Consider the following 23,225-nt stretch of genomic DNA (forward strand, 5'->3'; position numbering starts at 1 on the left):
TACAGTTCTTTCACCATGTATTTCCTTTAGAAAAACACTAAAGTAAGTATGAAAAGCTTTGGCTCTAATTTCTCATAAATTACTTATAATTTGATATTTACAAATATAATTATGAATTATAAGTTGATATCGTATTGTAATAACATTTTGTTTCTATAATCATGCCTCTTTTTAATGTGATTTTCTCATGTATTTTAATATATTGCAGAAATGCAATAACTGAAGAACTTGTTTTATGTACAGTGAGAAATTTGTATACAAAGTCTTCTACCATAATAAAAAAAATGAAGAGGAGCACCAAAACAAGTAATTTGCCAAGAGTCAGTTTTCCTTGGATTCGTACATTCCAATTCCCCTGCCACCACCCCACACAGACATGTTCACATTTGCCACCACTCTCTCACTGCCTGCAATGAGATCTAGTTAGCCAGAGATGTTTTTCAGGCTTTTTCAGATATTATGTTCATGTTTTGACTTGCCATGTAGCATAGTTAAGGAGGCCTGGCTTTGTTTTCCTACTGTGAAAGGTTTGGAGAGTTTGATGTCCCACTGGGCTGAATGAATGACAGTCAATTCAACTTTCTTCCTCATGTAGGTATGCATAAGTGACTTCTCAACTATTAGAAAGTTACTTTTAAGTAGGATTCACTTGAGTAATAACCACCTTAATATTTCTCTTCTTCTCTTAAAAGGAAGAGAAACATTTGCCATATAAAATACTGTATATCTTATTTCAATATAAATAGCAAATTTGATTTTTATTATTCATATGCAATACTAAAGACCCCCAGCAACATTTCGAATCAGAGTTTCACATCAAATATGTAAAACTGCCAAACTTGAACTGAAAGGCATCTTAATTTCATCATTGAAATGGTAACTTTTGCAATAAATATTTTGAATATTACTGAAAAATAAGAGAATGAAAGTTGGAGGGCATGTCATTTTTTTATGTGTAGCTTGAACACTGCCATGATCCACCTCATTGCCATAATATTTTTATAATTTAATTTTCTCATTAACTCTCATTCACTTTGAAAAATATTTGCCATGTTGCACAAGGATAACCAAAAGATATTCCTCAGAGAAGGCACACAGATAAATCAGTAAGCTTGGAGCTCATGTCTGTTATGTAGTTTTGGAATTATTCCAAAGGCTTACATAGTTTGCTATGTTTTGCTGTAACAAGAACTTAGACTGTACTCTCTCCACCCCTCAAGAATGCAGTGTCTGCCGGGCGCGGTGGCTTCTGCCTGTAATCCCAGCACTTTGGGTGGCCGAGGACGGAGGATCATGAGGTCAGGAGTTTGAGAGCAGGCAGTTTGAGACCATCCTGGCCAACATGGTAGACCCCGTCTCTACTGAAAATACAAAATTAGCCGGGTGTGGTGGCGTGCGCCTGTAATCCCAGCTACTCAGGAGGCTGAGGCAGCAGAATCACTTGAACCCAGGAGGCAGAGGTTGCAGTGAGCTGAGATCACACCACTGCACTCCAGCCTGGGTGACAGAGCAAGAAACCGTCTGGGGCGGGGGGTGGGGGGGGCGTGGCGGGGAAAGAATGCAATGTCAGAGCTCATCAGACCCATCATATGTGAGTTACTGACCTCAACCACTGGATTTCAAAATACATATAAACATAAGAGTTCGTTGAACACTTTGAGAACTTCAGTAAGTCTCAGCCACTTCTCCAAAAATGGAGAGCATATTCTGTGACAGGGCTGCCCTGCCAGTCACTTCTTGGAAGGCTGAACTCATGCAGCAACAGCGCCCCACCCTGTCAGCCGCTGAGCTATGAAGCCTCGCCTGCATCACTGGCACCACCCACTTGGTGTCAAGGGACCCTAGGTGTCTTTGAGGATCTCCATGGTGTCAGACACCATCTCTCCAGAGAATTCGCTTGAAAAAAAGGTGCACCTCAAACTTTCATTCGATTTGCCTTTCCACAGAGGTCTGCTTCCATTTCTACTTCAGGAACTAGACTTTAATATTTGGAACTCACTCCCTCTGTGGTTAATGTGCCTCATCTTTTGAGTGTATTCCCTGTAGATTTGTTCACATTATTCTTCTCCTTTTCGAGCATTGTGAACTTAAGAAAACAAATTCTCCTTGCATGGCAATAACCATGTGATTTGTGAAATCATACTTTGAGCATCTTATTCTAGCCATACAAAACAGTGTGGCTCAGAAATTCAATGTGATCGTTCCTCTGGTCAGTGACATATCCCCATGAAGTGAAGCAGCAAGGAAGTAAGGGAACAGGGGTTTTAGTTAAGGGGTAAAATGGGTAATCTTCTTGGAAATTACAAGCAACTGAAGAGCTCATTCCAAAATATGCAGAAATCTCCGAAATCATACATACTTTTTATGTTAGCAAAACTTAAGTGCAAGGAGTCATAATTTAGGTTTATTTAAAGAATGTCTCCAGTCTTGAAATAACCTGGGTGATAAAATAATAATACAATCTTTACTTTTATCTACTTGTTTCTTTTTAATTTTAGCACATTTAATATAAGACATAAAGTAAAATATAACAGTTCTTCAATACATATTTTTCAGAACTAAATAACATTTAAGGGAGATATGCTGATAGTCTTCAAAATATTTTCATCTTAGATTACATATCATTATTTTTTGGTATCAATTTCTAATTTAAAGCTATTTTCCCACTTAGGATCCTAGTTTTTATTTAAATTTTATTTAATTTTTATCTCCTCTTTTTTCATCTATTGTTTTACAGATCGCTTACAATAATTTTCCCTCAGTGCATAGAAAGGAGTGAGCTTGACAACCACCCACCCCCTTGAAAATCAATAGAAGTTGTCTTTTATAATAAAGCTCTCCCTTATTTACTGGAGAAGTGAAGCTAAGTATACAGATGCATCAGCCTGAGTCAGAAAGAGAAGCAGATATTGCTCAGCAGGAAGCCAGGATAGTGAGATTTCCAACTTCCTCTAGGTCGTTTTGTGAAAGGTGGTATCATTTTATGTTAAGACAAATTCCCAGAAATGTTACCACCCTCCACACACACATACACACACACACACACACACACACACACACACACATACGGAGGCAAGGAGGAGGCTACTGTGTCTTGGGCACTTGCCTAGGCATTGCCTGAAAATTACAGATAATTGTCACTAACCAATCTAATTGCAACTGTTAAACGAAATAACCCGCAATTCAGAGTTATTTCCTATTCAAATGCAATACAGTTTTTCTTTCTAATATATTAGGTTGCACAGAAACACTAAGATTGTACTTAAATATGGACTGAGGACCATTTTAAACGTTACAGTAAAGAAGTGATCACAATTTCATCTGGTTATATTAAAAGTGTTCTGGAATGGTATTGGGAATTGATTTTTTTTTTTTTGAGATGGGGCTCTCACTATGTTGCCCAGGGTGGTCTCTATCTTCTGGGATCAAGTGATCCTTCTGCCTCAGTTTCCCATGTGGCTGGTACTACTGGTGCATGCCACTGTGTCTGTCACATTTTTTAAAATCATAAACTGATTCTAAATTATAAATAAATCAAAAGGAAAGGCAGAGGACTTACTATGCTGCTATCTTGACAACATCAAAGTAACTAATCCCCAAAAGTTTATTCAAAAATCACAAGTTGTTTCCATCTTAGACCCAATTTCTGTACCAAATAAAGCCTATTATACTCCATAATGAAAAGTACAGATAATGAAAAGTACAGAGCCCAACGATGCTTAAATGATGCTATGTAATCTAATAGCTTTGATGAGTCAGTTTCCAAGATATATAATTATATTCAAAGAGTTCTGTCTGGTTCTGTTGATACTACAATCAAATTCTTCCTTCGCTGCAGACAACTTGTACTTAAGCAGAAGCTGAGTCATGCCCCCCACTATACGCCTCCAACAACAGATATGCCAAAGTCCTAGAGCTAAATGTCTGAGTGGTCCTGTTTTATAACAGATCAATAGTTCCTGAAATTAGTATTTGCCTTCCAGGCTAAAATATTTTTTCTACAGTGTTCCAAATATTCTTGCATTTCTTAGTCATTGTCATAAATAGCAATGATGCTTTGATAATCCTGATAACAAACTACTTCCAAACTGCAGCAACAGAAGGAAAATGGTAGGATATACACAAAATCCTTTGAGAGATCCAGAGAGGACTGATATTAGATATAAAAGCAATAACCTGTGGCTTTTCAAAAAGAGAAGCACATTTCTTCGCAATTAAAACTAGGAATTCTCGACAGATATAGTTCACTTTCAAGTGACTAGAATTGTCTCATTCCTTATAATGTCAAATGAAATATTCTTTGTTTCCTATGTTCACCGGCTCCTTGTTCACACTTACTATTTGAGCAGAACAGTCCATCATACATCGAGAAGGCACAGTCACAAGCGATCCCTCTGTGTTTCTCTCACATCTCCCTCGGAGGTGACACACGTGGCCATAGCTATGCAGTGTCCAGCATGCCCTGGCTCCACTCTTGGAGTCACTGTGGCTCTTTCTTTCAGATCCGGGATCGTCCCTTCAACTGCAGAAAATGAATGCATTCCAGAAAGCCTGGGTCTGGTGGCCATTTCACCTGCAAGGGAAGCATTACAAATACAAACACATTCCTCTGTGTTTTATTCAAGATTTCATCACTGGGTCAAACTGAGGCCTTATGGAGAATAGCAGAAACTGTGATCACTCAAAAGGTCTCAAGAACAAATATAATTTTGGAAACATACATTTAATGAAATGTTAAGTAATGGCAAATTACTTCATTTATTTATTTACTATATATATTCATATTTTACTTGACACATAATAATTGTACATATTTATGGGGTACAGTGGGATATTTCAGTATATGTATACAATGTATAATGACCAAATCAGGGTAATTAGCATGTCCATCACCTCAAACCTTTATCATTTCTTTGTGTTGGTAACATGAAAAATCCTCTCTCCCAGCTATCTGAAAAAAAAGACAACACACTGTTGTTTACTGTGGTTACCCTATAGTGCTGTACAACACTAGAACTTATTCCACCAACTAACTGTAATGTTGCAGAAGACAATACTGACCACATTTGTGAGATATTATCCTAATATGAATGATAATTATAGGTGGGGTTTTATGCTAACATAGCTGCCAAGAACTCCATAAATGAATGCCCACAACTGTAAGTGAGAAAACAAGATTATTCAATTTGGTCTGTGTGTGTGTGTGTGTGTGTGTGTATGTGTGTGTGTGTGTGTTGTTTCTATTCTCAGGCAGGGAGTTGGTTTTAGTTCTTTTTTTAAGAGGCCCAAACTCATGCTACTGTAAGAATTAACTGCAAGTTAATTATTGCAAGTTGAAGTTATTTATAAGACTATGGTATGTATATACAAACACACAATTCTGAATTCACTGTGTAATATTAGTACTCAAAATCATATATATTGTACAGGAGAACAACCTGTGTGATAATTCATGAGTTATCTCAGTCTCTAATTGGACAGTACAATTATTTACCTTAAAACAGATTAGAAATCACCAACAGAGAGCTTTTTTTTTAAACTAAATGCAAGCAGAGTAAAAAGAAATGTAGAGTAGAAAGAAATGAAGCAAAATATAGGTCTTCCTTTGGGAAAAAAGTCAAGACACAAAAGCAGTTGAAGAGATGTCTTTCATTTCCTAGGGTGATACACATATTTAGTAGTTCGGTAGTTAATTTTTGTTTAACAGCCATATTGAGGCTTTATTGGCATATAATGAATACACATGCTTAAAGTGCAGGACTTGTTAAATTTTTACTTATGTATACAACCATGAAACTATCATCACAATTAAAATAAGGAATATATCCATCACCCCAGCAAAATATTCTCCTCCCTCTTGATAACCCCTCCCCCATAACCTCCCTGCTTCCCCCAAATCCCTGGCAACCACAGATCTGATCTCTCTCATGATTAGTTTCTATTTTCCAGAATGTCATATAAATGGAACCACATAGTATTTACTTTTCTTTATCTGGCTTTTTCTTTCAACAGAATTATTTTGAAATTCATTAATGTGTGATATGTATCAATAGTTCATTCCTTTTTATTGCTGAGTAGTATCTCGTTGTGTGAATATAGCTCAGTTTGTGTGTTCATTCATTTGAAGATGGGCATTTGAATTGTGTCCAGTTTTCATCCGTTATAAATAAGCTACTATGACCATTTATGCACAGATGGTCATATGAAAATATCCTTTCATTTCTCTTGGGTAAATACCTAGACAAGAATAGCTATGTCATATGGTAGGTATCTGTTTAACATTTAAGAAACTGCCAAATTGTTTTGCAGAATGTTTGTCTTTATGCCAAATTGCTTTGGTTGATTTTATTATGGTAAACTAAACTTGAATTACTGGTATAAGTCAATTTTTTGAAACTTTGTTAAGTTTTTTTGCATCTGTGGTCATGAAGGACTGTATTTTTATTTTTTTAAAATGTCTGTCTAGGCTGGGCATGGTGGCTCACGCCCATAATCCCAGCACTTTGGGAGGTCAACGTGGGTGGATCACGAGGTCAGGAGGTCAAGACCAGCCTGGCCAACATGATGAAACCCTGTCTCTACTAAAAATACAAAAAATTAGCCGGGAATGCTGGTGGGCACCTGTAATCCCACCTACTCGGGAGGCTGAGGCAGGAGAATCACTTGAACCCGGGAGGCGGAGCTTGCAGTGAGCCAAGATTGCATCACTGCACTCCAGCCTGGGTGACAGAGCGAGACTCCATCTCAAAAAAGAAAAAAAAAAATGTCTGTCTGAATGTGGTGTCAGAATAATGCTGGACTTATAGAATGAGTTCAAAAGTATTCTCTCCTCTTCAATCTTCTGAATGAGTTTATGTTTATTTGTTATTTCTTCCTTAAATGTTTGCTAGAAAACTCCAGCGAAGCCATCTGGGCCTGGAATTTTTTTTGTGGGAAGGTTTTTAACTATAAACTCAATCTAATTAATAGACTATTCATGTCATCTATTTCTTCTTGAGTCAGTGTTAGTAGTTTACATCTTTCAAGGAATTTGTCTTTTCTTCTAAGCTGTCAAACATACTGGCATACAGCTTTGCATTGTAATCTCTTATTATGCCTTTTAATATATGTAATGTATGTAGTGAGATCACCTCTCTCATTACTGATATTGGTAAATTTTGTCTTTTTTTCTCTCATTGATGGCAGCAGCTGCTGCCATCATGCAGGCTACAGCAGGGAGGTATGGCTGGGTCTGCATACTCCATGAAGCTGGTGGGAGCCCCACCCCTTCTGAGTTGGGGTGAGTTCCCTGGTGCGGCTGCAGACCCAGGCCTCCTGCTCTACGGAGCAGGCTGTAGCCCACCCCAAACTGCAGCTGTGGATCCAAGCTTCCCTGTGCTCTTGGAGGGGGCTGGGAACCGACAGGATCTGCCCTCCTGGGTGCAGCTGCAGCCACCCAACCCACTGCTGCAGACCTGGGCTTCCGGCTCCATGGAGCAGGCAGGAGACCGGGACAAGCAGAAGCCCCGCCCCTTCTGAGTTGGCTGGGTGGGAGCTCCCTGGGTGCAACTGAGGCCACCGTCTCAGGCGCAGGACCCTGGCATCTTGGCAGCCTGCACCTGCCACCCCCAACTGGCTCTGGGATGTCTGCTCTCACTGCCTGGCCTCTCTCCTCTTCTGTCACCAGCTTTAATCTCCCAACAGGGTTGGTCGAGCCCTGGGGCCTTGAATGGCAGGGGGAGGGAGAGTCCTGGGCAGAAGCGGATGGGTCCCCAGTAAAGCCCCACCTTCAAGCCAGGGAGGGCCTGAAGGCTGGGAGCCAGACTGCCAATCCTGTGGACAGGACTGGGGATCTGTCCCTCCTCTGGGCCGCCAATGGCTGCTCATGGACCAATTGGCAGGTACTTCCTCCCCTCTGAGGTCCATAAAAGCCCTGGGCTCTACCAGAGAGGGCAGAGGACAGAGAGACGATGGGATGACCAGCTGCAGAGACGAACTCTCCCCTCTACTGAGAGCTTCAGAGACCTGCAGAGACCTCCAAATGACCAGCCTGCGGAGAGCAGCCAGGCTCGCCAGGGCCTCCTCTCTGCTGAAAGCTGAACACTCCACCGGACGACCTGCCTGCAGAGAGGAGCTACCCACTGTGGGTCTTCTCTGAGCTGTTCTAACACTAAATAAAACTCCTCTTAATCTTCTTCGCCCTTCCTTTGCATACCTCATTCTTCCTGGATGCAGGACAAGAACTCAGGCAAAGATGCCACTGTCCACAGAGGTTTCTGGGCAAGAAAATCGACACCCCAAAGATCCTGTAACATCATGATTGGCTGTCTCCACATTTACATCATACAATTCAATTACAAACCACTGCAAAGCAGCACTTATTGATGAAGAGCTGGCTCGTGAGCTGTAAGTGGACATGCCATCAGTGGTGGCAGGTTGTAGCTTATTAACTTGAAATGATACTTTTTTTACATTCCTCTCTGCCCTCACGTGGTGCTAATAATTGTCATAAAAGGGAGTATATGACTCCACCATGACCTCAAAAGGCCTATTCCCCATCTCAAAGGAAAATGTCACTTTCCTGGTGCTAGAAATTGTAGATATGAGAGTTGCTCAAGTTCATTTATAGTGAAGAGAAGTTAGTAGTGTATTTATAGAAGCCTAACACTATGATATGCATATATTTTTTAAATACTATAGAAGGAGCCAATGGCAGTGATCCAGAAAATATATCCTTTTCAGTTGAGATAGAAGAGCAAAAGAAATCTCTATTCCTATTGCAGAGAAAAAATAGTAAATATATTTGCTCATAACAACATAACTAAACTGTTTGTGGCTTAATAAATAAAAATATAGTTATTTAAAGGTGGTTCAAGGTTTTGTATATAATCTTACATTCTCCAAATGTGAATTTGCACAGTAACGAATTAAAAATAAAACAAAGCAATATTACTTGTCAATTCAATCAAATAACTTTGTAATTTAGCAGAAAATAAATTGTACCAGTTTGGTTTAAAGCCCTAACTACACATCTATAGTTTCCTTAAATTAATTAAAAGAAGTCATGCAATTTTCACAGAATATCACATGCATGTTATCCATTTTAATTTCTCTTAAAAATGGGTTAGTTGCCATTATCAAACTTTAGACAAGAAATCAAACAGATAAAGTAACAATGAAAGCAACTTAGACATTAGCTGAAGGGTTTACTCCTAATTGCTGAGTACCCATGCTTTATCCACAAAGGGTGATTTACCATTTCTATAAACTGATAGTGAGTTATTCAAAATGGAAATTAAGAATACAATCCCGGCTGGACGCAGCGGCTCACGCCTGTAATCCCAGCACTTTGGGAGGCCTAGGTGGGCAGATCACCTGAGGTCAGGAGTTAGAGTGACCAGCCTGACCAACATGGTGAAACCCTGTCTCTACTAAAAAATACAAAAAAAATTAGCCGGGCATGATGGCGGGTGCCTGTAATCCCAGCTACTCGGGAGCCTGAAGCAGGAGAATCGCTTGAACCTGGGAGGCAGAAAAAAAAAAGAATGCAATCCAATTACAATAGCAACAAAAAACTTATAAAATACTTAGGTGTAAATTTAACCAAGGAGGTGAAAGAACTGTATACTGAAAACTATAAAACACTGATGAAAGAAAATGGAAGAAAACACAAATAAATGGAAAGATATTTTATGTCCACAAAGTAGAACAATTAATAGTTTAGTTTTTATTTTTAATTTTTATGAAAACATAATAGTTGTACATATTTATAGAGTACCTGTGATATTTTGATACAAGCATACAGTGTGTAATGATCAGATATGGGTAACTGGGATATTCATTACCTCAAACATTTATTGTTTCCTTGTGTTGAGAAAGTTGTGAAATACAAAATAAATTACTGTTAACTATAGTTGCCCTATTGTGGTACTAAACACTAGATCTTACTCCTTCTATCTATCTAACTGTATTTTTATATCCATTAACCAACCCCTTTTCATGCCCTCCTCCCACTACCCTTCCCAGTTTTTGCTAAACACCATTCTGTTCACTACCTCCCATTTTTTTAGCCCACACATATGAGTAAGAGCATGATATTTGTCTTTCTGTACCTGGCTTATTTCACTCAACTTAATGTCCTCCAATTCCATCTATGTTGCTACAAATGACAAAATTTCATTCTTTCTTCTGGCTGAATAATATTCCATTGTGTATATATACCACATTTCCTTTACCCATTCATTCACTGATGGATACTTAGGTTGATTCCATATTTTGGCTATTGTGAATAGTGCTGCTGCAATAAACATGGGAATGAAGATATCTCTCTGATACACTGAGTTCTTATCTTTTGGCCATATACCAACTAGTGGGATTGCTGGATCATATGGTAGGTCTATGGTTAGTTTTATTGACAAATCTCCACACTGTTTTCCAGTGTGGAGATTTCCAGTAGCTGTACGAATTTACATTCCTACCAGCAGTGTATGAGCATTTCCCTTTCTCCACATCCTCCTTATCATTTGTCATTTTCTGTCTTTTTGATAATAGCCACTTTAACTGGGGTGCAAGGATATCTCATTGTGATTTTGATTTGCATTTCTGTGATCATCAATCATGTTGAGCATTTTTTCATTTATGTATTGGCCATTTGATTTTCTTCTTTTGAGAAATATGTCTATTCAGATCTTTTATCCATTTCAAAATCAGGTTATTTGTTGTTGTTGTTGTTTTTTTTTTTTTTGCTATTGAGTTGTTTGAGCATCATGGTGTATTCTGATTATTAATCCCTTATCAGATGAATACTTTGCAAATATTTTCTCCCATTCTGTAGGTTGTCTCTTCACGTTGTTGATTTTTTCCTTTCCTGTGCAGAAGCTTTTTCACTCGATGTAATCCCATTTGTCAATTTTTGCTGTGGTTTCCTGTGCTTTTGAGGTCTTACTCAATAAATCTTTGCTCGGACCAATGTCCTGAAGGATTTTACCTAAGTTTTGTTCTAGTAGGTTCACAGTTTTGAGGCTTACATTTAACTCTGTAATCCATTTTGAGTTGATTTTTGTATATGGTGAGAGATCAGGGTCAAGTTCCACTCTTCTGCATATGGTTACTCAGTTTTCCCAGCACCATTTATTAAAGATACTGTTCTTTCCCCAGTGTATGTTCTTAGGGCCTTTGATGAAAATCAGTTGGCTATAAATACATGGATTTGTTTCTGTGTTCTCTATTTCATTCCTTTGGTGTATATGTCTGTTTTTATGCCATAAACATGCTTTTTATTTTTTATCACTGCAGCTTTGTAGTATATTTTGAAGTCAGATAGTGTGATGTCTCCAGCTTTGTTCTTTTTGTTCAGGGTTGCTTTGTATATTCAGGCTTTTTTGTGATTTCACATGAATTTTAGGCTTGCTTTTTCTATATCTGTGAAGAATGCCACTTGATAGGAATTGTCTTGAGTCTATAGTTAACATTGGGTAGCATGGACATTTTAACAATATTAATTTTTCTAATTCATGAATATGAGTTTTTTTATTTTTTGTGTCCTCTTCAATTTCTTTTATCAGTGTTTTAAAGTTTTTATTGTACAGATCTTTTACCTCTTTGGTTAAATTTATTCCTAGGCATTTTATATTTGTGTAGCTAAGGTGAATGGGATTGCTTCCTTGATTTTCAGATTGTTCACTATTGGCATATAGAAACGCTACTGGTTTTTGTATGTTGATTTTGTATTCTGCCACTTTGCTGAAATAGTTAACCAGTTGTAACAGCTTTTTGGTGAAGTCTTTATAGCTTATCCTAAATATAAGATCATGTCATTTGCAAACAGTGACAATTTGACTTCCTCTTTTCCAATGCCCTTTATTTCTTTTTTAATAGCTCTGTGTAGGACTCTTTCACCACTTTTCAATAAAAGAAAACGATGTGATTGACCACTTTTCAATAAAAGTGGTGAAAGTAAATATCCTTGTCTTGTTCTAGATCTTAGAGGAAGGATCTTAGGGAAAGTGAATATCTTTGTCTTGTTCTATGTTAGAGAAAAGGCTTTCAACTTTTCCCTATTCAGTACGATGTTAACTGTGGGTTTATCATATACTAACATTAATGTTTTAAGGTATGTTCCTTCTATACCTAATTTGTTGAGAGGGTTTTTTTTAATCACAAAGAGGAGTTGAATTTTATCAAACACTACTTCTGTGTCTATTGAGATAATCACAAGGTTTTGTTCTTTTTTCTCTTGATGTGATGTATGTGATGTATCACATTTATTGATATTTGTAGGTTGAAGCATCCTTGCATCCCTGGGGGAAAATACCACCTGATCATGGTGTATAATCTTTTTTCTGTGCTGTTGGATTTTGTTTTCTAGGGTTTTTTTTTTAAAGAGTTTTGCATTTATGCTCATTAAAAATATTGGCCTATAGTTTTCTTTTGTTGTGTCCTTGTCTGGTTTTGGTATCAGGGTAATGCTGGCCTTAAAAAAGATTTGGAAGCATTCTCTCCCCTTTGATTTTTCAAAATAGTTTGAGAATAATTGGCATTAGCTTATCTTTAAAAATTAGGTAGGATTCATCTGTAAAGCCATATGGTCCTAGACTTTTCTTTGTTAGACTTTTTATTACTGATTCAATTACATTATTCATTATTGTTCTATTCAGGTTTCCTGTTTCTTCATGGTTCAATCTTGGTAGGTTATATGTGTCCAAGAATATATCTATTTTATAAGTTTTCAATTTGTTGATGTAAGTTGTTCATAATGGTCTGTAATGATCTTTTGTATTTCTGTTTTATCAGTTATAATGTCTCCTTTTTATCTCTGATTCTATTCCATTGAGTTTTTCTTTTCATTAGTCTACCTAAAGATTTGTTGATTTTGTCTACCTTTTCAAAACAATATTTTCATTTAGTTGATCTTTCATATTTTTAGTCTCAATTTTATTTATTTTTGTTGTGATCTTTAGTATTTCTTCTTCCTGTAATTTTGGGCTTGATTTATTCTTGCTTTTCTAGTTTCATGAGGTGCATCATTATATTTGAAATCTTTCTACCTTTTTATATAGGCATTTATTTCTATAAACTACCCCTCTTAGTACTGCTACTGCTTTTGACATATAACGTAAATTTTGGTATGTTGTGTTTCTATTTTTATTTGTTTTAAGAAATTCTTAAATTTTATTTTTAATTTCGTTATTTGCCCATTGGTTGTTCAGGAGCATGTTGTATTGGTGCATTTTCCAAAGTTCCTCTTGTTACTGATTTCTAGTTTTATTCCATTGTGGTCAAAAAAGATACTTGATCTGATTTTAATTTTTAAAAATGTGTTGAGACTTGTTTTGTGGCCTAACGTATGGTCTATGCTGAAGAATGCTCCATGTGCTCATGAGAAGAATATATACACATTCTCCAGCTTTTGAATGACATTTTCTGTAAAAGTTAGGTTTATTTGCTCTAGAGTGTAGTTTAAGTCCAATGTTCCTTTGCTGATTTTCTCTTTGGATGATCTGTTCAGTGCTGAAAGTAGGGTGTTGAAGTCTCCTATTATTGAAATGCAGTCTGTCTCTCCCTTTAGATCTAATATTTGCTCTGGTGTTGGGTGGGTATATACTCATAATTGTTATACCTTCTTGCTGAATTGATGCTTTTATCATTATATAATAACCTCCTTTGTCTCTTTTTAGGATTTCTAATGTGAAGTCTATTTTATCTGATAAAACTACAACTACTCCTGCTTTCTTTTGCTTTCCATTTGCATGGAATATCTTCATGTGTCCTTACGGGTGAGGTGAGTCTTTTGTAGGCAGCATACAGCTGGGTCTTTAAAAAAATACCTCATTTAGCCACTATGTATCTTTTAACTGCAGAATTTAATCCATTTACATTCTAGGTTATTATTGACACGTATGAACTTACTCTTGCCATTGTTAAAGTGTTTTCTAGTTGCTTTGTAGAGCCTTTGGTCCTTTTTTCCTCTTTAGCTTTCTTCTTTTGTGGCTTCATGGCTCTCTGTAGTAGTATGTTTTGGTTCTTTTCCTTTTATCTTTTGTGTATCCATTACAGGCTTTTGCTTTACGACTACCCTGTGGCTTACATAAAACATGTTATAACAGGTTAATTTAAGCTGATAACAGTTAATTTTGATTGCATACACAAACTTTTCACTCTAACTTCCTTTTCTCCCATGTTTGATGTTTTTGATGTCACACTTTACATCTTTTTATAATAACAAAAATAACATAAGTAATAATTTCATATAAAATAATATAAACAAAAATAATAGGCCTCCTCAGCCACTCAGGCCTTTGCTGCTCCTCCAGAGAGGGACTTGCAAACATTCAAAGAATTTGCATGCCATCGACAAGGCCAGGAAGAACTGTGACTGGATTCACAAGCCCTTCCCAGGCCTTACTGGGCATCCTTACCTGGTGCCCACAAACAGGGAGTACTTAGAACATATTTTCTGGTGCCTCTGATGACAGGCACTGCTTTGGACTGGAGTGGAAAGTAGGGCACCAAAACCATCCCTGGGGCCTTCACTTTATAGCCAGATGCAGTCCTCCCCCCAACCACGGGTCTTAAGAAACTTTCTGGAGACTCATTGGGCCAACCAGACCCATGCAACAAGGTACCCTTCTCAGGCCTTCATACCTGGCCCCATCTGAGCAGCCCCCAAGGCCTTCCTGACCACTGGCTCCCATCCAGGCTCTCCCCAGTTCCATGGTCCATTCAGATTTGTCCTGGCCTCCAGAGAGGGGTTTAGATACAATTTTGCAGGGTGCCTCCTATGACCAATCCCCACTCAGTCCACCAGGTGGAAGGGATGCCCTTCCTGGCCTCCATGACTAGTTAGGGAATGTCTCAGCTAGCTAATTGGGAAAGAGAAACGTTTTCGGGAGTGCTGTATGCAACTGTGCCCCACGCAAAACTGTAGCCATGTCAGAGACCCTTCCTGGAGGCTCCCTGTGCAGCTTTGACTGATCTCTGTAGGAAATACAGACATTCCCATAGGGGAAGTGAGAAACTCTTGGAGCCATTAGTGGTACTTTTGTTTTCATGTAGTTCAAAGAATTATTTTAATTTCTGTTGAGATTTCTTCTTGACCCTTATGTTATTTAGATGTATATTTCTGAATATCCAAGTATTTTGAGATTGCCCAGCTATCATTCTATTACTGGTTTGTATAATAGGTTCCAGTGTTTTCGGAGAGCAGGTATAGCATGGTTTTTATACTTTGAAATGTGTTAAGGTGGGCTTTATGGCCCAGAATGTGGCCTATCTTGGTGAATGCTCCATGTGAGAGTGAAAAGAATATGTATTCTGCTGTCATTACACTAAGTAGACTATAGATGTTAATTATTTCCAGTTCTTTGATGATGCTGTTTAGTTCTACCATATTTTATTGATTTTCTATCTATTGGATCTCTCCATTTCTGATAGAGGGTGTTGATGTTTACAACTATGATTGTGAATTCTTTTATTTATCCTTGCAGTTCTATCAGTTTTTTGCCTCACGTATTTTAACACTCTTGTTAGGTGCACACACATTAAGAATTGTTATATTTTCTCAGATAATTCACTTTTCGTTATCAAGCAGTGCCTATATTCATCCAGAATTATCTTTTCTCTCTGAAGTCTACTCTGTCTGAAAACTAATATAGCTGTTTCAGCTTTATTTTAATTATTGTTAACCTTGTATATCTTTTTCCATTTCCTACTTCAAATCTATATGTCTTTGCATTTAAAGTGAGTTTCTTGTAAACAATGTATAGTTGGGTCTTTTTTGTGGGGGATCAACTCAGATGAACTCATTCTTTAATTGGTGTATGTAGACCATTGACATTAAAGATGATTACAGATGCAGTTAGGTTGGTATTTATCATGTCTGTTATTATTCTCTATTTGTTGTCCTGCTTTTTTCTTCCTATTTTTGCCTTCCACTCTTTTCCTGCCTTTTGTGGTTTTAATTGAGCATTTTATATGGTTCCATTTTCTCTCCCGTTTAAGCATGTAAATTCTTCCTTTCTTTTTACTGTTAAAAAACCTTTCTATTGGTTGCCCTAGATTTTGCAATGTACATTTACCATTAGTACAAGTCTACTTTCAAGTAATACTGTATTGCTTTATGAGTAGTGCAAGTATTTTATAATAACAAAATATTTCTAACTCTTCCCTCCTATAGTTTATATCATTGCTATTATTCGTTTCACTTATCAATAAATTATAAACATCTAATAACTATTGCTATCATTATTTTGAACAAATTATTTATTAGCTGCTATATCAGTTGAAAATAAGAAAATGCAAAGTTTTTACTTCACATTCATATATTCATTTTTTATATTCTTCCTTTATGTAGATCCAAATGTCTTACTTTTCTCTTAAGAACTTCTTTTAACTTATTCCAACATTTCTTGCATGCAGGTCTACCAGCAACAAATTGCCTCAATTTTTGTTTTCTACAAAAGTCTCTGCCAGGCACGGTAGCTCACAGCTGTAATCCCAGCACTTTGGGAGGCCAAGGCAGGTGGATCACTTGAGGTCAGCAGTTCAAGACCGGCCTGGCCAACATGGTGAAAACCCACCTCTACTAAAAATACAAAAATTAGCTGGGCGTGGTGGTGTGTGCCTGTAATCCCAGCTACTCGGGAGGCTGAGGCAGAAGAATCACTTGAACCTGGGAGGCGGAGGTTGCAGTGAGCCAAGATCACGCCATTGCACTCTGCACCCCAGCCTGGGTGACAGAGTGAGTCTCCATCTCAGAAAGAAAAAAAAAAGTATTTATTTCTCCTTCACTTTTGAAGACTATTTTGTCTAAGGCATTCATGGTATCACACTATGATTCTAATTTGCATTCTCATGAATTTGCTATTTTCATTTACTATTTCATCATGGACATTTTTCCATGTTACTACATGTAAGTCTACCGCCCTGAAGAAATAAACCAAAACGTAAATTAACGGTATTGTATAGATGTACCAGAATTTTTTAAACCTGGCTCCTCTGAATGGCTATGTTTTCTTTATTTTTTGTTATTACAAGTAATGGTGAAATCAGTATTCTTAACATCATACATGTATTTGCACCGATGTTCCCCACACCCATTTGTTGTCATTTGACTTTGTCCTGGTACGTGCACAGATAAATTTTCTTTAAACTTTATGCTATCAAGTTAATCAATCGTGTCCTTGATGGCTTTCGAGTTGTCTTTGTTGTATACATGCCTTTTTATTTTTATTTTAAGAGACAGCGGTCTATTTATGTTGCCCAGGCTGGTCTCAAACTGCTAGCCTCAAGCGATCCTCTCGCCTCAGCCTCCCAAGTCGCTAGGATTACAGGCGTGAACAACCGTGACGGGCTCTGTTCTATGCTTTAAAGATCTTCTCTGTTCAGAAATTTTAGAATTAAAGTGTTTTCAACAAAGCTTTCATGGTTGCAGTTTTTCATCCCATACCTGAGGGCGCGGTATTTTCTAAGTCCGCTTGCGCGGCTCTGGAAAGCCCGGCCTGGCAGGGCGCCCGGCCCGCAGGCTCGCGGTTAGCTTTTCCACGGGCCAGACTGGGAGTCACGTAGGGAGAGTCTGTATTCTTCCCAGCAGTCAGCCTTCCCTTATGCTGCTGGGGATGCGTCGTGGTGACCTGGAGCTCCAAGAGGAGCCAGACGCGCTCCACCCACCCAGGTCTGAGAAATGCGATCCGACATGGACTGCAGCCCTTTGCTCCGGTTGTCGGGCTCCACCTGGCGGTCGATGTTACCTATTGCACTTGTTCTCTGGAGCTCCCGCGAGAGAGAAGTGGCCACTGTGCACCGGGTCGAGTTCCAGGATGTCCCTAGCGTTAGCAGGATTGTTCCGCCCGCTGGCAAAGCATTCGCTCCCCATCTGTTCGTGGAAGCTTGGACCTGCAGCTTAAGCTCGGAGGAGGCTCTTAGCCCTGGATGCTCTGTGGTGGGGCAACATGCGGGTCGACCAGCAACCCCCAGTGCCTGCCCCTCCAACACGAGACCTATCGGGGTCAACACGAACCATCTTGAAAGGGTGTTTGGAGGCCTCCCCGCGTGTGTCCCCATACCAGTACCTTCCATTTGACCCCATTTTCCTCAAGTTCTGCCTCAGAGGTGGCGACCGGCAGCTGTACTCAGAGGACGTGGAGGGGGCTCCACCAGCCTGGGCTAGGTCCTGCGTCCGTCCGCATCCTCAGACCTGCCTTTTCTGAGACCCGCTTGGGAGGTGACAAAGGACTGGAGAAGAACCAGGTGCCCCGGGGAGGGCGTCTCAGATTCTGTCTGTGTGGAGCAGGACCCTGACGCCACGGGGAGGTTCCTTATGTTTTTGGCCTCTTCCCACATACCTTAACCTCTTCCCAAATACTGGGAACCCCAGGGTTCATTTGGCTGCTGAAACTGTCCAAGCTCTAGGCTGCAGGCACCAACCTATTCCAGTATAGTCCTTTGCTCCAGGACACCTGGGCCGCTTTCCTGAGGGAAGAACATTCTCTTTATCAGGCAGAGACCCTGGCCACCCATGCCATTCACAAGCTGTTCCTGCCAGATCTGCCGGCACTCAGTCATCCTGGGCCATCAGGCTACTGAGTTCCGGGAGATGGTGAATGTTCAGGGTGCTTGTGTGGCCGGCCAGAGGTGTCAGAACCCCAAGTAGCTGGGAAGTAGCCAGAGGAAAGCCAAGTCCCCAGTCATCTGATGCTAACCTCGAAATTCTCATCCTTCTCCTTCCTCGTGCATTGCTCCTTCCAGGCATTCTTTAATCACAGCTGTGTTGGAGGCTGGGATTCCAGACCCAGCACTAACAGGGTACAGCCACAGCTGCAGCATCTCACAGTGACCTAGAGCCTGGCCCAGCTACCCAACTCAGGCAGTTCATCTAGCACAGCATCCCTGGGAGGTGGCCACTGTGAGATTCACTTCGGATTAGGAACTGAGGCTCCAAAGCCACAAATGACTTGCCCAACATCAGGCAGAAGGATTAGAATTTAGGTCTGCCGGCCTCTAAAGCTGTCTCTCAAAGAATAGACCATCAACCAAGGAGACAGGTTATTTCCAGGTAATACAATGAAGTAATGTAACTACAAAGAAGGATGAGTAATCATGGTGGGGGCAGGATGTGGGGGGGCTGTCCAATGCATCTGTCTCTTCTCTTCCTCCTGCCCCCAGGCCCAGCCACTGAACACGCTCCTGGACCTTGACGTGCTGGGCTTCCATGTTGTCCTGTCTTGGCTCAGACACCACAGAAGGATCACTCCCCTTCCAGTGATAATGGAGTTCTTCATTACTAAAGTGTACAGTCATGAAATCCATTACTAACCCTGAGACTCTCAGGCAAGAGGTGACAGGTCAGCTAAGTGGGAGAACAGTAGCAAAGTCTAATGGAATAAGACGGGGAGGCTTCCAATCAGAGAAGGACAGTAAACACAGATACAAGCTGGGTGGCCTCCACACCTGTATTCAGTCCCCCAAGGTACTGTGGGGAAGAAGACATCTGCAACTCAGTAAAATCACATCTAAATCCTCAAAAAGGATTCTTCTCCTCTATACATTAGTCAAAACCCTCATGGGTACTTTATCCAGATATGAACATAAAATAGTATTTTCTGCACATCTAATTAGCAATAATTCAGGACCATTACAATAGTCCAGGTGGCGAGGACCAGTGAGATCCTTTGATGCTTCTCTTGAAAAATGTACATGGTGCCATTTTTTGCAGCATCATTTGGCAATATGTATTAAGAAGCTGTAAAATATTTACAGCCTTTGACCTACAAATTGTACCTCTGGGAATTTTTAGGAATATAATATTCAGAGATACTGACAAAGACCTGTGTACAGAATGTTCGTTGCAAACCAGCTCTGTTCTATGCTTTAAAGAACCCATTATTCACAATAGTTGAAAATTGGAAGCAACTTCCATGACCAATGAATAGGAAAAAAGTAGAGAAAATCGCTGGGGTGGGGGGACTCTACAATAAAAATCATAATGCTTTCCAAATGTTTTAGAAAGAATGTTGATGCTACGGGGGAAATGAGGGAGCTTCCTAATGAAGCATATTAAACTTAATAGATCTCAAAGGCGACTCTTGTTTTCACACTCAAATATGGCTCTTCCTTTTCTTCTCTCAGTGAAAAGCACTGAGTTGGGAAAAGTCCCCATCTTCTCCCAGTTTCTCAAGTCAAAAATCTAGAATTTGTTCTTGATTCTTTCCTTTCTCTCTCACTGGACAGCCACTGCTACAATCAGTCCTGCTGGGGCTGCTTTCAAATGAATACCTCTGGGCCATCCCCTTCCCTATCTTCACCCTCCCCCTTCCTCATCTTCCTCTCCTCCCTCTTCCTCCCTCCTTGTCCCTTATCTACTCCCTCCCCTCCTTGCCCTTCTCTTCATCTCCCTTCCCCTATTACTCCCTCCTCTCCCTATCTGCTCCTGTCCCTCCCCTTCCCACCCCACCTTACCCGGCCATCACTTCATTCTCACTAGGTCTCCTCTCTCAGGGATGACCCCAATGTCCTTCTGCTACTTGAGGGGTTCCCAGCTTCCTTCTTTAGCCCAGAGCCCCTTCTGTGCCCACAGCCAGAGGCCTCCCATGGAATGTAAGTCCTTCACTCACTCCCTGTTGGACTCCCCACCAGTGGATTCCTTGCTACTTAGAGCAAAACACAAAGCTCTTCCTGTGGAACTGAGCTTCGACTGGTGGGGGACATAAGAGGCAGCCACTGGTCCAACCAGCCAAGGCCTAAAGCTCGCAGAAGAGAAATTCTCATTAGCAGAATTTTCAGTCGTTGGAGCTGAGCTGCAGGATGTTTGAGTGTGGACACCTAGCACAAAATGTACCAATGGGGGGCTGGTCCGAGTCTTTAGTCCCCTACCATGCTCCCTACCTCTGTACTGTGTGCTCCTGTCACTCTAGCTTCCTTCTGCATGGAATGCCTCCTTTCTGTTTTCTGTGGTCACACCTCTGCACTGAGCCCCATGAGACCCACCAACTTCAGAAGCTGCCCCTGACACCTCTGGCAGTAGGCAGGTGTGTCCTGTGCTGTCCATGCCCTTCCTTTGTACCTATAAGCTGGTGACTCTGTTCTGTAGATAGTTAGGTCCCTGTCTCATCTTCCCAGCCGGACTGTGAGGTATTCATGGTGGGATCTATGTCTGATCCATCTCAGGGAGTCCCGTGGAGCTTGACCTAATGCCTGGCATGTGGGAATCCCAGAGAGGAAACAGTATGTGCAAATGCTGGAGATCTGATGGCACCTGTGGCAATACGGAAGATTCCATGTGTGTAAAGGGCAACAAAATAGAGCAGTATTAGATAAAATAAATATTCTTGAGTGCATACTGATATAAATAAATGATTAAATAAGTTAATGAATGAGGGAAAGGAGATAAATTCACATGCAGGATTTCAAATGAATTATGTTATATATTCCATCCCAAAGGAGGGCGAGAATAACTACCCACTCCTTAAGTGTGGGCTGCACACAGTGACTTATTCTCCAAAGAGGACGGTATGGAAGAGGGGGAAAAGAGAAACTGCAGTGGAGAATCCTGATGAGCACTACCTCTGCCAGGTCTTTAGTGATGTCAGTCATCCCCTTTTTATATTCATAATTTTCTCTTTTTTCCCAATCAATCCAGCTGGAGATTTGTCGTTTTCATTGATTTTTCCCAAAGAACACGTTTTTGGATTCATTGATTTTTTTTCCTTTTTTTTTATTTCACTGATTCCCATTTTGATCTTTATTATTCCTTTTCTGCTGGTTACTTTAGATTTAATTTGCTCTTCCTCATATATATTTTGAGACAGAGTCTTGCTCTGTTGCCCAGGCTGGAGTGCAGTGGCACAATCTCGGCTCACTGCAACCGCCACCTCCTGGGTTCAAGTGACTCTCCTGCCTCAGCCTCCCAAGTAGCTGGGATTACAGGTGCCAGCCACCATACCCAACTAATTTTTGTATTTTTAGTAGAGACGGAGTTTCACCATGTTCGGTAGGCTGGTCTCGAACTCCCAACCTCAGGTGCCTGTCCACCTCGATCTTCCCCAAGTGTTAGGATTACAGGCGTGAGCCACTGCGCCTGGGCGATATTCTTAAATTAGAAACTGAGATTGCTGATATGAGACCCTTCTTCTTTTCTAATATAGTAATATCATAAATTTCCCTTCAGGTACTTCTTCAGTGACAACCGACAAATTCTATGTTGTTTTTCTATTTCCAGTAACTTCAAATAACTTTCTAATATTCCTTTAGATTTCTTCTTTGACCTATGAGTTATTTAGAAGTGAGTTAATTTCCAATTTTTAAAGGATCTTTCTGTTACTGGTTTTTAATTTTATTCCATTGTGACCTGAGAACATATTTTGTAGTTGAATACTTTTTAATTTATTGAGGTTTTTAATGGTCTATAATGTGGTCTATCTCCATAAATATTCCGTGCACAGTTGACAAAATGTGTATTTTGCTTTTATAGGGTGGAGTATTCTATAAATATAAATCAGGTCAGGTTAGTTGATGGTGTTGTTCAAGTCTAATACATTCTTGCTGATTTATTGCCTATTTATTCTATGAAGTGTTGAGAGTGGGATTAAAATCTCTGATGGTTATCTCTATCTCTACGTATTGTTTTATTACTTTTCTTCATACGTTTTGAAGCTTTGTTGTTAGGTACAAAAACACATAGGTTTGTTATGTCTTCTTCGTTAACTAACCACATTATCAGTAAGAAATAATCTCTTTATTCCCTGGTAATAGTCTTTGCTCTGAAGTCTATTTTGGCATTCGTATAGCCACCTCAGCTTTCTTTTGACTAGTCTTGGCATGGTATATCTTTTTCCATCCTTTTACATCTAACCTATTTGCATCTTTATATTTAAACTACATTTCTTGGCCAGGTGTTGTAGCTCACACCTGTAATCCCAGCACTTTGGGAGGCCAAGGCAGGTGGATCACCTGATTTCAGGAGTTTGAGACCAGCCTGGCCAAGATGGTGAAACTCTGTCTCTACTAAAAATGCAAAAATTATCTGGGTGTGGTGGCAGGGGCCTGTATTCCTAGCTATTTGGGAGGCTGAGGCAGGAGAATCGCTTGAACCTGGGAGGCAGAGGTTGCAGTGAGATCACGCTGTTCCACTCCATTGCACTCCAGCCTGGGCAACAAGAACAAAACTCCATCTCCAAAAATAAGTAAATAAATAAAGTACATTTCTTGCAAGCAAAATACAACCAACTTTAAAAAAAATCCAATCTGACAAC

General features: G+C 39.8%; 1 pseudogene, besides 1 other annotated feature; it reads right to left on the reverse strand.

Annotated features, from left to right (window-relative positions):
• Positions 267 to 808: an enhancer, noted in NCBI's record as "NANOG hESC enhancer chr9:44436970-44437511 (GRCh37/hg19 assembly coordinates)". NCBI's record gives its function as "activates a minimal SCP1, AML or CMV promoter by ChIP-STARR-seq in primed H9 embryonic stem cells {active_cell/tissue: H9 hESC(primed)}" and the evidence as "EXISTENCE:reporter gene assay evidence [ECO:0000049][PMID:30033119]".
• On the reverse strand, positions 4,240 to 8,567 carry CNTNAP3P8 (CNTNAP3 pseudogene 8; annotated as a pseudogene).

Source organism: Homo sapiens, chromosome 9 (genome assembly GCF_000001405.40).
Source record: "Homo sapiens chromosome 9, GRCh38.p14 Primary Assembly".
NCBI classification, from domain to species: domain Eukaryota; kingdom Metazoa; phylum Chordata; class Mammalia; order Primates; family Hominidae; genus Homo; species Homo sapiens.